This window comes from Homo sapiens, chromosome 10, assembly GCF_000001405.40.
Source record: "Homo sapiens chromosome 10, GRCh38.p14 Primary Assembly".
NCBI lineage: Eukaryota > Metazoa > Chordata > Mammalia > Primates > Hominidae > Homo > Homo sapiens.
In genome coordinates this window covers 117214830-117227703 of record NC_000010.11, presented here as the reverse complement: position 1 = coordinate 117227703, position 12874 = coordinate 117214830, and the positions used below count along the sequence as shown (strand labels likewise).

Below are 12874 nucleotides of genomic sequence, written 5' to 3'. Positions count from 1 at the left end.
ATGTGAACCCTTGCCTTTCCCCAGAAGGCTTTGCACTGCCTCTCCCAGGTGAGAGGGAGAGCCCTGTCCCAGCTCTCTCCAAATGTGAATCCTCAGAGGACAAGATTGGGTGTCATTAAATGTTGGTCCCTCCACAGACCTAAGCACAAGGCTTTGCACACACACGGAGCTGTGCACAATTATTGCACATTGAGTTTACTTTTGATAATGATATCCTTTTCTGGCAAACTATTCCAATAATTTTTAAAAATATCTTTTATTTTGTGATTGCCTTACTGCAAAACTACGTAGATTGCAAATAAGTTTTGCTTTCAGTCGTTCAAAGGAGCTCAGCATGTGAATGCACAAGATTTTACCGAATTGTTCTCTTTCAGTGGACATCTGCCTTGTTTGTGTTTGATAAATAATGCCATTGCCCATGAAGAATAATGCCATTGTCCATGATAAATAATGCCATTGTCCATGATGAATAATGCCACAAGGAACAATCTCCATGATCACATCTTTCACACCTATGCAATGATCACGTTTGGAAATTCCCAGTGGTGGCACAGTTGGATGGAGAGTGGGAAATTTTCCATTGCGGATAGAGCCCACTGCAAAAACCTATTTCCCCATATTTCATGACTGTTTTCTTCTAGAGAACAGCACCGCCCAGTGGCTGGGAGTGTTTGGGGAAATGCTGGCTGGAATCTCTTCTTCCGTTCATTGGCTGTAAGATCAGGGTCACACCCCTCATCCCCTGAGCTTCAGGGTTTCCTCCACTAAAGAGATGACTCTCAGCCCTCCTGCCTCACATGGCACAATGAATGGAGAAGCGCCGGGAGCCTCACAGCTGTAGGGGTGGTTCCTGCCTTGGGTTCATCCTGGCCAGTCTTGGTCAGCATAGCGTTGAAGGTTCTAGAAGAACGTTGGGTAAGTAGAAACTGTAGATGTAGAATTCTCCTCCATCCACCTCTTGTCTCTCCTCTCCCTCCCAGTCATGTCTCCAACCCCATAACCTGCCAGGGGTGTACAAAAGAACCCCCAGGGCACATGTCCAGCGTGCCTCACAGGCTCAGCTCTTGGCGCTGAACACCCTCATTTCCCTAGGAAATAACTCTTGTTCCTTTTTAAAATTCAGTCTTAGCTGGGTGTAGTGGCCTGTGCCTGTGGTCCCAGATATTCAGAAGGCTGAGGCAGAAGGATCACTTGAACCCAGGAGTTCATAGCCAGCCTGAGCAACATAATGAGACTCCATCTCAAAAAAAAAAAAAAAAGGTTTTAATTCAGTCTTGTTATTCTCAGGCAGAAGTATGTATTTTTCTTTACTATTGTCCATTGAATCTTGCTCCAATTAAACAGCTTCCAATATTCTTCTAGAAGTTTCTCTAGGCAAGACCAAGGGAAGAAAACTTTTGAAGAAAGAAATGAAGATGAGATTGTTCAGAGCAGTGTTACTTGTCTTAGTCCATTTTTTGCTGGTATAACAACACCACAGACTGGATAATTTATCAAGAATAGAAGTTTATGTAGCTCACAGTTATGGAGGCTGGGAAGTCCCAGATCATGGCTCCAGCATCTCGCAAGAGACATTCCATGTTTGAAGATGGAAGGCATCATGTGGTGAGCAGGCACATGAGGCAGCGTAAAAGGAGGCCAGACTCCCAGAAAATAACCCAGTCCTGTGATAACGGCATTAATCCATTCATGAGAGGAGATCTCTCATGACCTAATCATTCCTTAAAGTCTTCACCTCTTAATACCATCAAAATGGCAATTAAATTTCAACATGACTTTGGACATTCTAACCATAACACTCCTCAAAATGGCCAGTTGGCCAACTGCTCTTTCTAGGCACATGATGGGATAGGGAGCTTGGCAAAGACTCTCTTTGAGCAAACTTTAGACCGACCCCTCAGAGCCCTCTTTCTGACTAGGTCTTACCCTGGGGCCCTGTCTTCAGCCTCCCTAGTTCAGTTATAGCAAGAATTCTTCTAAGTCAGCTTATTGAGAGTCTCTCTCCACTCTTGTAATCTGATCTCCCTGACTTGCCTCCAGCAAGATTCTGAAGCCCCCAGCTGTCTCCGCTGTATTCTGAGCTGAGCTTGATCTGGCTCCCCTATTGTGATAGTCTTGACACCTATCAGAATGGTCCAGAATAAAGTCTTCCTTGCTGTTTGAACAAGGGTCAGAATAACTTTTTCTTTAACAATCGTTAACACACTGCGTTCTTCATCAAGAAAGCCTTGCTACCAAAAAAAAACTGCCTGCTGTACTAAACAGTGTTCTTGGGGATATAATTGACTGATGTTCAGGTGCAAGAAACTTATCCTGTTAAGGACGGAAAACAATTGCACGCTTACATTGATCTGGTCCCCAGGCCACACTTTCATTTTTGCTAGTTTGAAATCTACAGTGGGGAGAGAAGGCTGAGGGAGTGAGCAGGGGAAGAGATGCTTTTTCACACCAGCACTCCATCTGGAACGCCAGGAGGCCCTCTCCAACACACCCTCAAAGCCTGGCCAGAGTAGGCTTGGTGGGTGCCAACCAACCTAGGCCTCTGATCCCTGTACTCATGGCAGGATCCTGCTGGTCCCCAGGCAGCAGGTGGGGATGTCAACAGGTGGGGAAAGAGCATTTCCAGTCCCTCTAACTTCTAGGGAGGCTGAGTCCCCATCAGCAAATCTTAGCTTAGGGCCTACCATGTGCTGGCCTCGGTGCCTGTCACTATGGGCATCGATAGTGGAGGCCATGGCCCTGCATATATGGGGTTGACACTCTAGCTGGGCAAGGGCCCAGTGGCATGTGCAGTTAAGCCAGCAAGAACATCTTTTTTTTTTTTTGAGACAGAGTCTCACTCTGTCGCTCAGGATGGAGTGCAATGGCGTGATCTCGGCCCACTGCCACCTCTGCCTCCCAGGTTCAAGTGATTCTCCTGCCTCAGCCTCCCAAGTAGCTGGGATTACAGGTGCATGCCCCCACACCTGGCTAATTTTTATACTTTTAGTAGAGATGGGGTTTCACCATGTTGGCCAAGCTGGTCTCTAGCTCCTGACCTCAGATAATCTGCTTGCCTCAGCCTCTCAAAGTGCTGGGATTACAGGTGTGAGCCACCACGCCCAGCCAAGAACACTTTTCTTTATTTCTGAAAGGAGGCAACAGTAATACGGCAATGACAGACATATCCATTGCCCACTTTAAAGAGACAGGTGTTCGGCCCCTTCTTGGTATGACTGCAGCCAAAACCAAGGGTCAGCTGAAGACTGCACAGTGCATGCAATGTGTGGTCAAGTAAGAGCCAAGCTCTGGAGAAAAACTTTCTCATTTGGATCCCTTTCTTGTTTTACCACTTACTGAGTAGGGGACTGCGAGCAAGTCACTTCACATCTCAGCCCTGGGGATCATAATAGCACCTCCCTTGTATGTCTTGTGATGATTAAAAGATGTAAGGACCATAGCAAAGTGACTGGCACAGAGCAAAGGATGTTCTGACTCATCTCCCCTCCTATCCAGGCTCCTCCTTGCCCAGGTCTTTTCCCAGGTGAATGGTGACTCCTTTCAGGTTCAGACCCGGGCTCAGCTTTCCAGCCCAGCACCAGCGGGCTCCAGAAGGCCTTCTAGATCCTGTAGTCCTGCCACATAATTAAGGCTCATTTTGAGCCATCTGCTGTTCATGCATTCATTTTTGTTGATCACCTATTATGTGCCAGAAGTTGTGCTAGGCTCTGAGGTCACAGTGGTGAATCAATCAGTCATCCTGCCTCGTGGAACTAACACTGCATGGGGGCTGGGCACTAATCGACATGCAATTAGAGCTGGAAAAAATCCCTCGTTCAAGTCCACAGAGCTCCGCCATACTCTGGGGGCAAGAGAGAGGCTTCCATGTAGGGGGTGGGACATTAAAGCCATGGAGAGGGGGTCATCCCCTGGCAGGGGTAGGTGGGGTGGACCTGAAGAGGGAGAAACACAGCTCAGAACAAACAGCTCAGGCTCAAAGAGGATGGGAGTGGACTCAAAGGAGGGGTGCAAAGAGGGAATTTTGAGGCCTTGGGTTCTGAGCAAAATGGGGCTGGCATCTTCAGGCCACCTGAAGGCCAAGGGCATCAGTATCCACCCACCACAGAAGGCCAGGAGCCAGCCATCTTGCAGTCAGCCCAGCTGTCCAGTCTCCTGGAAGGCCATCTGTGTGTGGTCCTCACTGTCCTGGGATTCCTCCATGATTCTGGAGAATGGGGGCCATTCACCTCTTAGATGGGTGAGTTAACAGAGGGCCTGAAGGGCCTTGTGGAATGCAGTGGAAGACACAGCCTTGGCTCCTAAGGTGCCTCTGATCTCTGTGTAGGCCCCATGACAACAAGAGAAGAGAACAAAATTCCAACAGCCCCCAGGGTGGGCGGCTTCAGACAGCTCAGGGTGTTTTGATACAAGCTGCTCTGCAGCCCCGAAGCTTTCCTTGCTCTTTGCATGAATTTAGCCTTCAGGGAGAGAAGGAATGTGCATCCCAAAGAAACAAACACAAGACAGCTCAGCCTAGGGGAGAGTGACAGCTGGGACCTGGAGCAGGCCCAGGCAGCAGGCGGCACATGACAGTTGTCTGATTTGGCTGTGTCAATAAGTGCTTTGCTGAAGCTTTCAAAACAAAAGATTATCCATAAAATGCACGGTCCCACTTCTTGTTTCCCTGCCCAGACATTGTATGTGGCTTTTGGAAAAGAGTCAGGATGTCTTTGTCATCAGAGCCTGGTGTCCCTCAGTCACCTGTTGAGAAGGAAGGAGGGAGGGTGCTGAGAAGGGAGGGAAAGGTGGCAGAGGGCTGGCCCACTGGGCTGCCACTAGCTTCTCCCACCTGCATTTCAGGGAATAAGGAAGACCAACCGGTACCTCACCTAACATCCCTTCAACAAGCCTCACGCTTGAAGAACACACAGCCCAGCTGGAGAGAGAGGCCAGGACCCCACATCATCACAGAGTGGGTGCATCAAGAGCAGCTGGGGCAGGGGCATCCCGGAAAAGGGCATCGTCCCTGAAGGCTGCTGGCCCTGAAGGAGCTCTGGGAGCAAGGGGTGATGGTGGGGCCTTGAGGCCCAGGTAGGATCCGGAGTGTGAGAGGGAAGATGCCTTTGGAAATGAAGCCCTTGGTCACCTCAGTGAGAAACATGGCAGGATTTGCTCTCTTGTTGCATTATTTAAAATGAAGGCAGATGTCAATCATCTCAGGCAGGTTTACATCCTAAATGCAACTGACCCGGTCCCGTATATCAGCCCCCTTGTTGTGGCCTAGCAGCCCAGAGAACCTACAGTCCTCTTAGCTGGCAACATCACAGAACATTCCACCTGGAAAAACCTTAGGGAATCCTTGGTCAGTGGTGTTCAGTTCTACCCCACCCTTTCTGTCTTTAATTATGGACTTCTGTATTCAAACAAAACATTATAAGAAGCCAAATATAAAACATAGCAAAGCAAAGCTACTCAGACCAAATCAGGGATAAGAGACTCCGATCTGCCCATGGGTTTCAGAAAACGCCACATGAAAATGCCTGGGCTACTTCCACTGGCTTATACACTGGAGAAACTGAGGCACAGAGCGACAGTCCTGACCATACACTATGTGAGAGCAAAGACCTGGTTGGTCTTATAGCACACTGCATCCCCAGCATCCACCTCAGTCAGTCCTGGCACATATAGATGCCCAATAAATATCGGTTGGACAGATACAGATTAGTTGGATCAACATACATTTTTTGCATAAATAAATATTTGTTGGAAGAGACACACAGGCAATGCTGACGGCCTTTGCACAGTCATCTCTGTTTTTCTACAAATGCAACTACTTTTTGAAGAGGCTAAAGGAGGGACTTGCCTCTGAGACAGGGTCTGTAATTGCCTATGTTTGGAATGTACAGCATTTGAAAGGTTTTAATTTCCTGATCTAATGACAAGAATAAAAGCAGAGGAGTAGAGGGCCAGGGAGGATGAAAAGGAGCCACAATTTGCATCCAAGATGGAAGTGCCCTTTGTTGTCCCACATCCAAGTCAACTTCAAAGTTTTCTGCTGCATGGAGATGCACATCAGTCACCATGGCAACCACCAATCTGCCCAGGCTACTCGACCCTGGCCAGCCCTCTGCCAGCCATAGCATGTGCCTGGCTTTCAGAGAGCCAGGTGGGGCAGAGAACACAGGGGCTGCCGCTCAACCTCGCCAGCCTCCACCCAGCACGTCTTATTGGCTCTCAGTCTGTGGGGAGAGGGGTCTGGGTCAGCACCTCGATTGGCTGCACTGTCATCCTGCAAGCATGCATTAGTAGCCACCAGGTGCCTGTGCATCGGGTCACTCCTTAGAGATAACACTCCCGTGTCTGGCACTAGTCGCTGAACAAAGGCCTGTGAATGAGTCAATGAATGAAATCATAACCAGAGTCCCCTGGGAGCTTCTAAAATAAACAAATGCCCAGCTCCACCACCTGAAACTGGCTGCATCAGCATCTCTGGGAGGTACAGGCAAGACTGGGGGGCTACAGTTGCACACGCGCCCCTCAAGTTAGAGCAGGAGGAGAAAGCTGAATGGAGACAGTCCGGGTGGGGCTGCTGGAGCTGCCACTCACGGAGATGGCAGGAGGGGCGCTTGCTTTGGGATGTGTCGGGTTAGAGGTGCCCAGGAGGAGTTTGGGAGTCCGGAGTTCTGGGGAGAACTCAGGGAGGGAGGCAGCCTTTTTATCCACCAGAGTGATGAGACCATGGTGAGGGTGCAGAGACAGATGTATTCACCCATTTTCACGCTGCTGATAAAGACATACCCGAGACTAGGCAATTTGTAAAGAAAAAGAGATTTAATGGACTCACAGGTCTAAGTGGCGGGGGCGGCCTCACAATCATGGCAGAAGGCAAGAGAGAGAATGAGAACCAAGCGAAAGGGGTTTCTCCTTATAAAACCATCTGATCTCATGAGACTTATTCACTATCACTAGAACAGTATAGGGGAAACTGCCCCCATGATTCAATCATCTCCCAGCGGGTCCCTCCTACATCACGTGGGAATTATGAGAGCTACAATTCAAGAGGAGATTTGGGTGGGGACACAGTCGAACCATATCAATGAGCAAGAGACCGAGTATCCAAGGTATAAGCCATGGAACACACGGGCCAACAAGGAGGGGTAGGTGAGGGAGATGAGAGTGAGCACCAGGCAAATGTGGTGCCTGGGAAGCCAGGAGAATGTGACAAGCACAGGCTGGGGAAGAAAGATAGTCATGCCCAGAGCATCAAGGCAGGAGCTGCAGAAGAAAGTCTCCCATCCAACATGTGGTGACTGCCGGCTGCTGTGGGTGCCCCACCTGGGTGGGGGCTGCCTAGACTACCTCTGCCCAAAGACTGGGGCCTCAGTGGTGGCCACACTGAGCATATCTTGCAAACCCCTCCTAAGTCCACCAGGCCTGAGGTTCTTACCTTGAAATTTACCTCTTCTTCCTCCATCAAAGGCAATGAGCTGAGTGCTGGAGAAAGCTGAGCCATCCCATTATCTGCCTCCTAAACAGTAATGGGGGCCAGGTGCAGTGGCTCACACCTGTAATCCCAGCACATTGGAAGGCTGAAGCAAGAGGATCACTTGAGCCCAGGAGTTCAAGACCAGCCTGGGCAACATAACGAGACCTCCATCTCTACAAAAAATACAAAAAGTAGCCAGGCATGGTGGTGCACGCCTGTATTCCCAGCTACTAGGGAGGCTGAGGTGGGAGGATCCCTTGCACCCAGGAGTTTTAGATCAGCCTGGGCAACATAATGGGACCCTGTCTCTACAAAAAGTTTGAAAAATTAGCCAGGCATGCCTGTAGTCCCAGCTACTGAGGAGGCTGAGGCAGGAGGATCGTTTGAGCCCAGGAGGTCAAGGCTGCAGTAAGCCATGATCACACCACTGCACTCCAGCCTGGTGACAGAGTGAGACCTAGTTTCAAAAACAAACAAAAAACAAAAAACATAGTAATGGGGATGGCTTGGGTTTTTTTTGTTTTTTTTTTTGAGACGGAGTCTCTCTCTGTTGCCCAGGCTGGAGTGCAGTGGCGTGATCTAGGCTCACTGCAAGCTCCGCCTCCAGGTTTCACACCATTCCCCTGCCTCAGCCTCCCGAGTAGCTGGGACTACAGGCGCCTGCAACCACGCCTGGCTAATTTTTTTTTTTTTTTGTATTTTTAGTAGAGACAGGGTTTCACCATGTTAACCAGGATGGTCTCGATACCCTGACCTCGCAATCCGCCCACCTTGGCCTCCCAAAGTGCTGGGATTATAGGCGTAAGCCACCGCGTCCGGCTTTTTTTTTTTTTTTTAAGATCTTGCACAGCTGGGCACACTGCCACAGGATTTACATGTATTATCTCATTTGGGCCTCACAACCACCCTTTGAGGTAGGTACTATCTACTTCACTTCCGTGTCAGTCAAGAAACCTGCCCAGCATGGAGGCTGGCCAGGCAGCATGTCTCCACAGGCAAAGGTCTTGACCACCAGGGCACAACACCACTTCCCGGTCAGCACAACATCAAAAGACGCTGTGGGGAAAGCTTCTGGACTGGCCATTGACTTCCTTCCCCTTGACCCATCCACCAGGTACCTACGCTGTGGACACCTCTGGACAAGGGGCAGCTGTACCCATGGTGGAAACTAGGGCATGGAGTTTTGCTGTATCCCTGCCAAGCCCACTTTCTAGCCCTTGTTAGTTTGTGACTCCATGCTAATAAGGCAGGAGAATAGGGAATTATGGTAACTAAGGTTTAAGGCATAAACAAGAGAACAGCAGGTGCAGCCGGTTCTGGGCAAGATTAGGCAGCATCCAGGCCACGTGCTCGCTCTGATAACAAGACAGAAGTCTTCACTTCAGCCTCTGATTGGTCGAGGGCCAATCCTTCACAGGGTGTAACCAACTGGAAGCCTCTAAGGGGCACGTAGGGGTGTTACCAAATTCTTCTAGCTTAATAAAAACCCTAAAAGCCATTGTAATCGGGGCTCTTGAGCCGCTTGCTTCAGCTTGCCTTCTGTGCCTTGGCTGCTTCGTTCTCTTGTTGCTTTGTTTGTGCATTTTGTTCAATGCTTTGTTCAACGCACCAAGAACCTGGACAACTCACAGTCAAGACTCTCCATCCGGTAACACTAAAGTTAATTTTACCAGGTGGGGATGGGCTGATGTGGCAGGAGGGGGCCTGGTGCCTGATGGAAATGTGGCTGGACCTCCGTCCTGGGGAGGATGTTGGAAAAGGCAACAGGCAGCTGGCTTAAGGGACTGTCCCAGGGACAGCATTTCTTCCTGTTTAATGCCTCTTGGCCAGGAGTGGGTCAGGTCTGGTTGCCGCCTATGCAATGTGAGGGGCTCTCTTTAAGGAAAAAAAGAAACTACGAAATTGCCCATTCAAAATTAGGTATGAACATGAATATTCATTTAGAATGAGAAATAACAAATTACACATTTCACAATGCCAACAAATACAGAAACCTACAATCATGCGAGCGCATTGCCAGGGTTTCTTCCGGTCATGAGATTTCAAGTAAGCAAGAAACTCTGAGCCTAAGCTTCCTCAGCTTCCCGGAAATCAGAAATCATCTCTGCCCTTAACAGCTCCCTTGCTGGGAGTCAGTGGATATCTCTGCCCTGGGAGGTCAGATCACCCCCTACTTCCCACCCATGAAAGTAGCAGCTACTCTTTTGGTGACAAGGCAGGACCACAGGGGCTGTCTGAAGCACCACCTTCAGGGGTTTAGCCTGGCCCACCTGAACTGGGGAAGGGACAGTGTCAGGGAAGTTTCCTGCAGTTCTGAGCAGGGCTCCGGCACAAGCCTTCAGGGGCAAAGCCTCTGACCCAGGCACCAATATTAACCTACTCCAGAGATTGGTGACAGGGACTCATTCGTGCACCGATGTTTACCGAATGCCCACCACATGCCAGCACGGTGCCAGAGCGACGGGCAGATCACTGAGAACCACACGGGCACACCTGAGAAGGTTAAATGTGTGACGTGGCTACACAGCCTGCACATATTAGTTGCTCATTAAATATTGGCTTCCTTCCCGTCCTCCCATTTGCCAGGCACGCTCCTACGGAGAGGCAGCGCCCAGCACAGAGCAGTGCATTCAGCAGCCCACATGCCAGTGCCCCAGAAGGACAGGCCACACCTACTTCCCGCCCATGAAAGTAGCAGCTGCTCTTTTGGTGACAAGGCAGGACCATAGGGGCTGCCTTGGCCCATCCCCTGCCCATCCCCTCCCCATCCCGGGACAGACCCAGGAGCGAGCTCGACTTGCGTGAGGTTACCCAGCAGGGCAGGGGTGCGGCCAGGTCTCCTGCGTCCGAGACCCTCTCTCTCACTGGCCCTCTTAGGAAGCGCGAGGCCCTTCCAATCCCCTTCCTGTCTGGGCTCGCCTGGCCCCAGCGCTCCGGTGAAGGCAGGGGTTCTCGACCCCAGCTGAGAATCACCGCAGTGTTGGAGACAGGAAGCAAAGCCCCAGCCCCAGCATCCCGGCCATTCTTGGACCTGGCTACTGAGCGTCCGAGGCAGGGGGCTCCAGGTGGGACGCGACATCCGGACACGAGGAGCTCCCAGGCGTCGCTTGTGAGCTGCACCCCGTCTGTCCGCAGGCCCGCAGGGAGGCTGTGGGGTCAGGAAAGAGGCAGCCAGGGTGAAGCTAGTGGGCATGCTGCGACAAGTTTGGCAGGACTTGGGATTGCGGGGACAGCGGTGCGAAGTGCCCGTCCCGGGGACGGAGGTGAGAACAAGAGTCCGAGGCGTCCCCTCTCAGGAGTCCACGGTGGAAGACTGGAGTCGGAAGGGGGAGCCCTCCCCGGGGACCGCGGCTGGAGATGTCCGCTCCCGGGAGGACCCTTCCTCGCGGCGAAGGCGGGGAGCTTGGGACGCGCCACCTGCTGGCGCAAAGCTTGGGGTCTGCGCGGTCTGGCCGCGCCACCTGGTGGCCGCTTGGGAAAGCGCAGCCCGGCCGCAAGACCTCGCGGGAGCGGAGGGGCCGCGGGCGTGTGCGGAAGGATTCCTCCATCAGCTCCAGCACCCCGCGACCTCTGAGCCACTACCCCATCCTGGGGCGCCTGGCCTGGACTAGCTGCCCCTCTTCTGACAGCGCCCACTCTCGCAGCCCCTATCGTCCCCGGGGATTGGGCCTCCCCGAGGAACCCCTCTTCCGCCTCGACGCCCCCTCTGCATCTCTTTGGCTGTGTCATCTTGAACAAAATCGCTTACCGTCCCTGATCTTCAGTTTCTTCGTATTCTAAAGGCGGGGAGGGCACTAACAATACAGCATTCAGGGCTGGTGGACCACTGAACGGGACGACCCCCACAGCGGCTGGGTGAGTCGCACCAAAGGCTTTGGTCCAGGTACCGGGAGGCTGGAGATGAGATGTGCAAGCGGAGCAGGGCACTTCTGCACCCATAAGTAGGAGATGCAGCGGGTGACCGTCAAAATCCCCTCCCCTCCTGAGTCTGGGAGCTTCCGGGGCAATTTCCAGGACCCCCGCTTCCCGGAGGTGGACTTTAGCCAACCTGAGACCCCGCAGGCCCTCCCATGGAGCCAAGTGATGCTGGGCAGTTGACGATGATCCCCCAAGTGAGTCCAAGCCAGGCAAGAAGCAGCCCCCTGGGATCACCAAGAGAAACCGAGCTTGGAGAAGACGAAATACTACCTCTTATTAGGACAGGGTCAGTTCCAGTTTGGGGGAGGCCTCGCTGGCTGGAGGGCCTTTCCCGCTTCAGCATCCCTGCCCAGGACCCCAGCCCTCATGCTTCTCCCAGGCTACTGTCCTCACAAACTGTCCCCACAGGGAGGCTGCAGGGAGCATTGGATGAGAGGCACACGCAAGGCTCAGCCCAGGACCTGGCGCAAAGTAGGTGTGCAGCAAACGCTGGCTGCTCTCCTTGGTGTTTCTGTGCACCTAAGTCCCACCCAGCGTCCTCCCTTATGTGGGAGATGCTGCAGAGTAGAGACTCAAGGATTAAAAGGGAAAAAAAGCAATAAGGATGAAAAAAGGCACGATCATTTTATTTGGGCAGCTCAGAGTCTGGAGAGGAGAGGACAGGTGAGAACATTGTTATCCTGTAACAGAGGAAGAGGTAGCAGGGGATGGAGTGGGAGCATGGAGCACACAAGGGTGACCGCTTTCAGGAGTTGGGGGATGCCACCTAGCAGAGGTGACATGTGAGCCTAGCCTGGAAGGGAGAAGGACACCTCAGGCTGGGAGAGCCACTAGTGCCCTGGTTCTCAATTCTGACCACATGTTGGGTAACCTGGGAGACCTTTCAAAACCTCAGTGTGCAAGTGGCACCCAGACGAATGTCGGAATCCTAGAGGGTGCTTTGGACTAAATGTCTGTGTCTCCCCAAAATTGATTTGTTAAAACCCTAACCCCAGTGTGATGGTATGAGAAGGTGGGACTTTTGGGAGGTGATTAGCTGTAGATGACATCATGAGGTTGGAACCCTCATAATAGGATTAATGCCCTTATAAAAAGAGAAAGAAGCACAAGATCTGCCTCTGCCTCTGCCTGTGTCTCTGCCTCTGTCTTGGCCTCTGTCTTTTTCTCTCTTTATGCCTCACTCTCTGTGCATTTCCCAGGAAGAGGACCCTCACCAAGAACCCAACTATTCTTGCTTTCTGACCTCAGACTTCCAGTCCCCAGAACCATGAGAAATACATTTGAGTTGTTGAAGTCACCCGGTCTATGATAATTTGTTATAGCAGCCTGCACTCACTAAGACGGCAGGGAGGGGGATGCCATGAAATATCTGACACTCCCCAGGTGTCAGTGCGCAGGCAAGGTTGAGAACCACTGAGCAAAGTCTTGAAGGAATAAATTCACATGTCTGCACAGGGGCCCAGAAGTAAACAGCTCAAGTTGGGGCAAGAA

At 51.6% G+C, this 12874-nt stretch overlaps 7 annotated features.

The window, feature by feature from the left end:
* Window positions 4502-5002: an enhancer, noted in NCBI's record as "H3K4me1 hESC enhancer chr10:118982213-118982713 (GRCh37/hg19 assembly coordinates)". NCBI's record gives its function as "activates a minimal SCP1, AML or CMV promoter by ChIP-STARR-seq in primed H9 embryonic stem cells {active_cell/tissue: H9 hESC(primed)}" and the evidence as "EXISTENCE:reporter gene assay evidence [ECO:0000049][PMID:30033119]".
* Window positions 10299-10816: an enhancer, noted in NCBI's record as "H3K4me1 hESC enhancer chr10:118976399-118976916 (GRCh37/hg19 assembly coordinates)". NCBI's record gives its function as "activates a minimal SCP1, AML or CMV promoter by ChIP-STARR-seq in primed H9 embryonic stem cells {active_cell/tissue: H9 hESC(primed)}" and the evidence as "EXISTENCE:reporter gene assay evidence [ECO:0000049][PMID:30033119]".
* Window positions 10299-10837: a biological region, named in NCBI's record as "H3K4me1 hESC enhancer GRCh37_chr10:118976399-118976916".
* Window positions 10618-10757: an enhancer, noted in NCBI's record as "active region_4098". NCBI's record gives its function as "activates an Ori minimal core promoter by ATAC-STARR-seq in GM12878 lymphoblastoid cells {active_cell/tissue: GM12878}" and the evidence as "EXISTENCE:reporter gene assay evidence [ECO:0000049][PMID:35858748]".
* Window positions 10788-10837: an enhancer, noted in NCBI's record as "active region_4097". NCBI's record gives its function as "activates an Ori minimal core promoter by ATAC-STARR-seq in GM12878 lymphoblastoid cells {active_cell/tissue: GM12878}" and the evidence as "EXISTENCE:reporter gene assay evidence [ECO:0000049][PMID:35858748]".
* Window positions 11028-11087: a silencer, noted in NCBI's record as "silent region_2858". NCBI's record gives its function as "represses an Ori minimal core promoter by ATAC-STARR-seq in GM12878 lymphoblastoid cells {active_cell/tissue: GM12878}" and the evidence as "EXISTENCE:reporter gene assay evidence [ECO:0000049][PMID:35858748]".
* Window positions 11334-11851: an enhancer, noted in NCBI's record as "H3K4me1 hESC enhancer chr10:118975364-118975881 (GRCh37/hg19 assembly coordinates)". NCBI's record gives its function as "activates a minimal SCP1, AML or CMV promoter by ChIP-STARR-seq in naive H9 embryonic stem cells {active_cell/tissue: H9 hESC(naive)}" and the evidence as "EXISTENCE:reporter gene assay evidence [ECO:0000049][PMID:30033119]".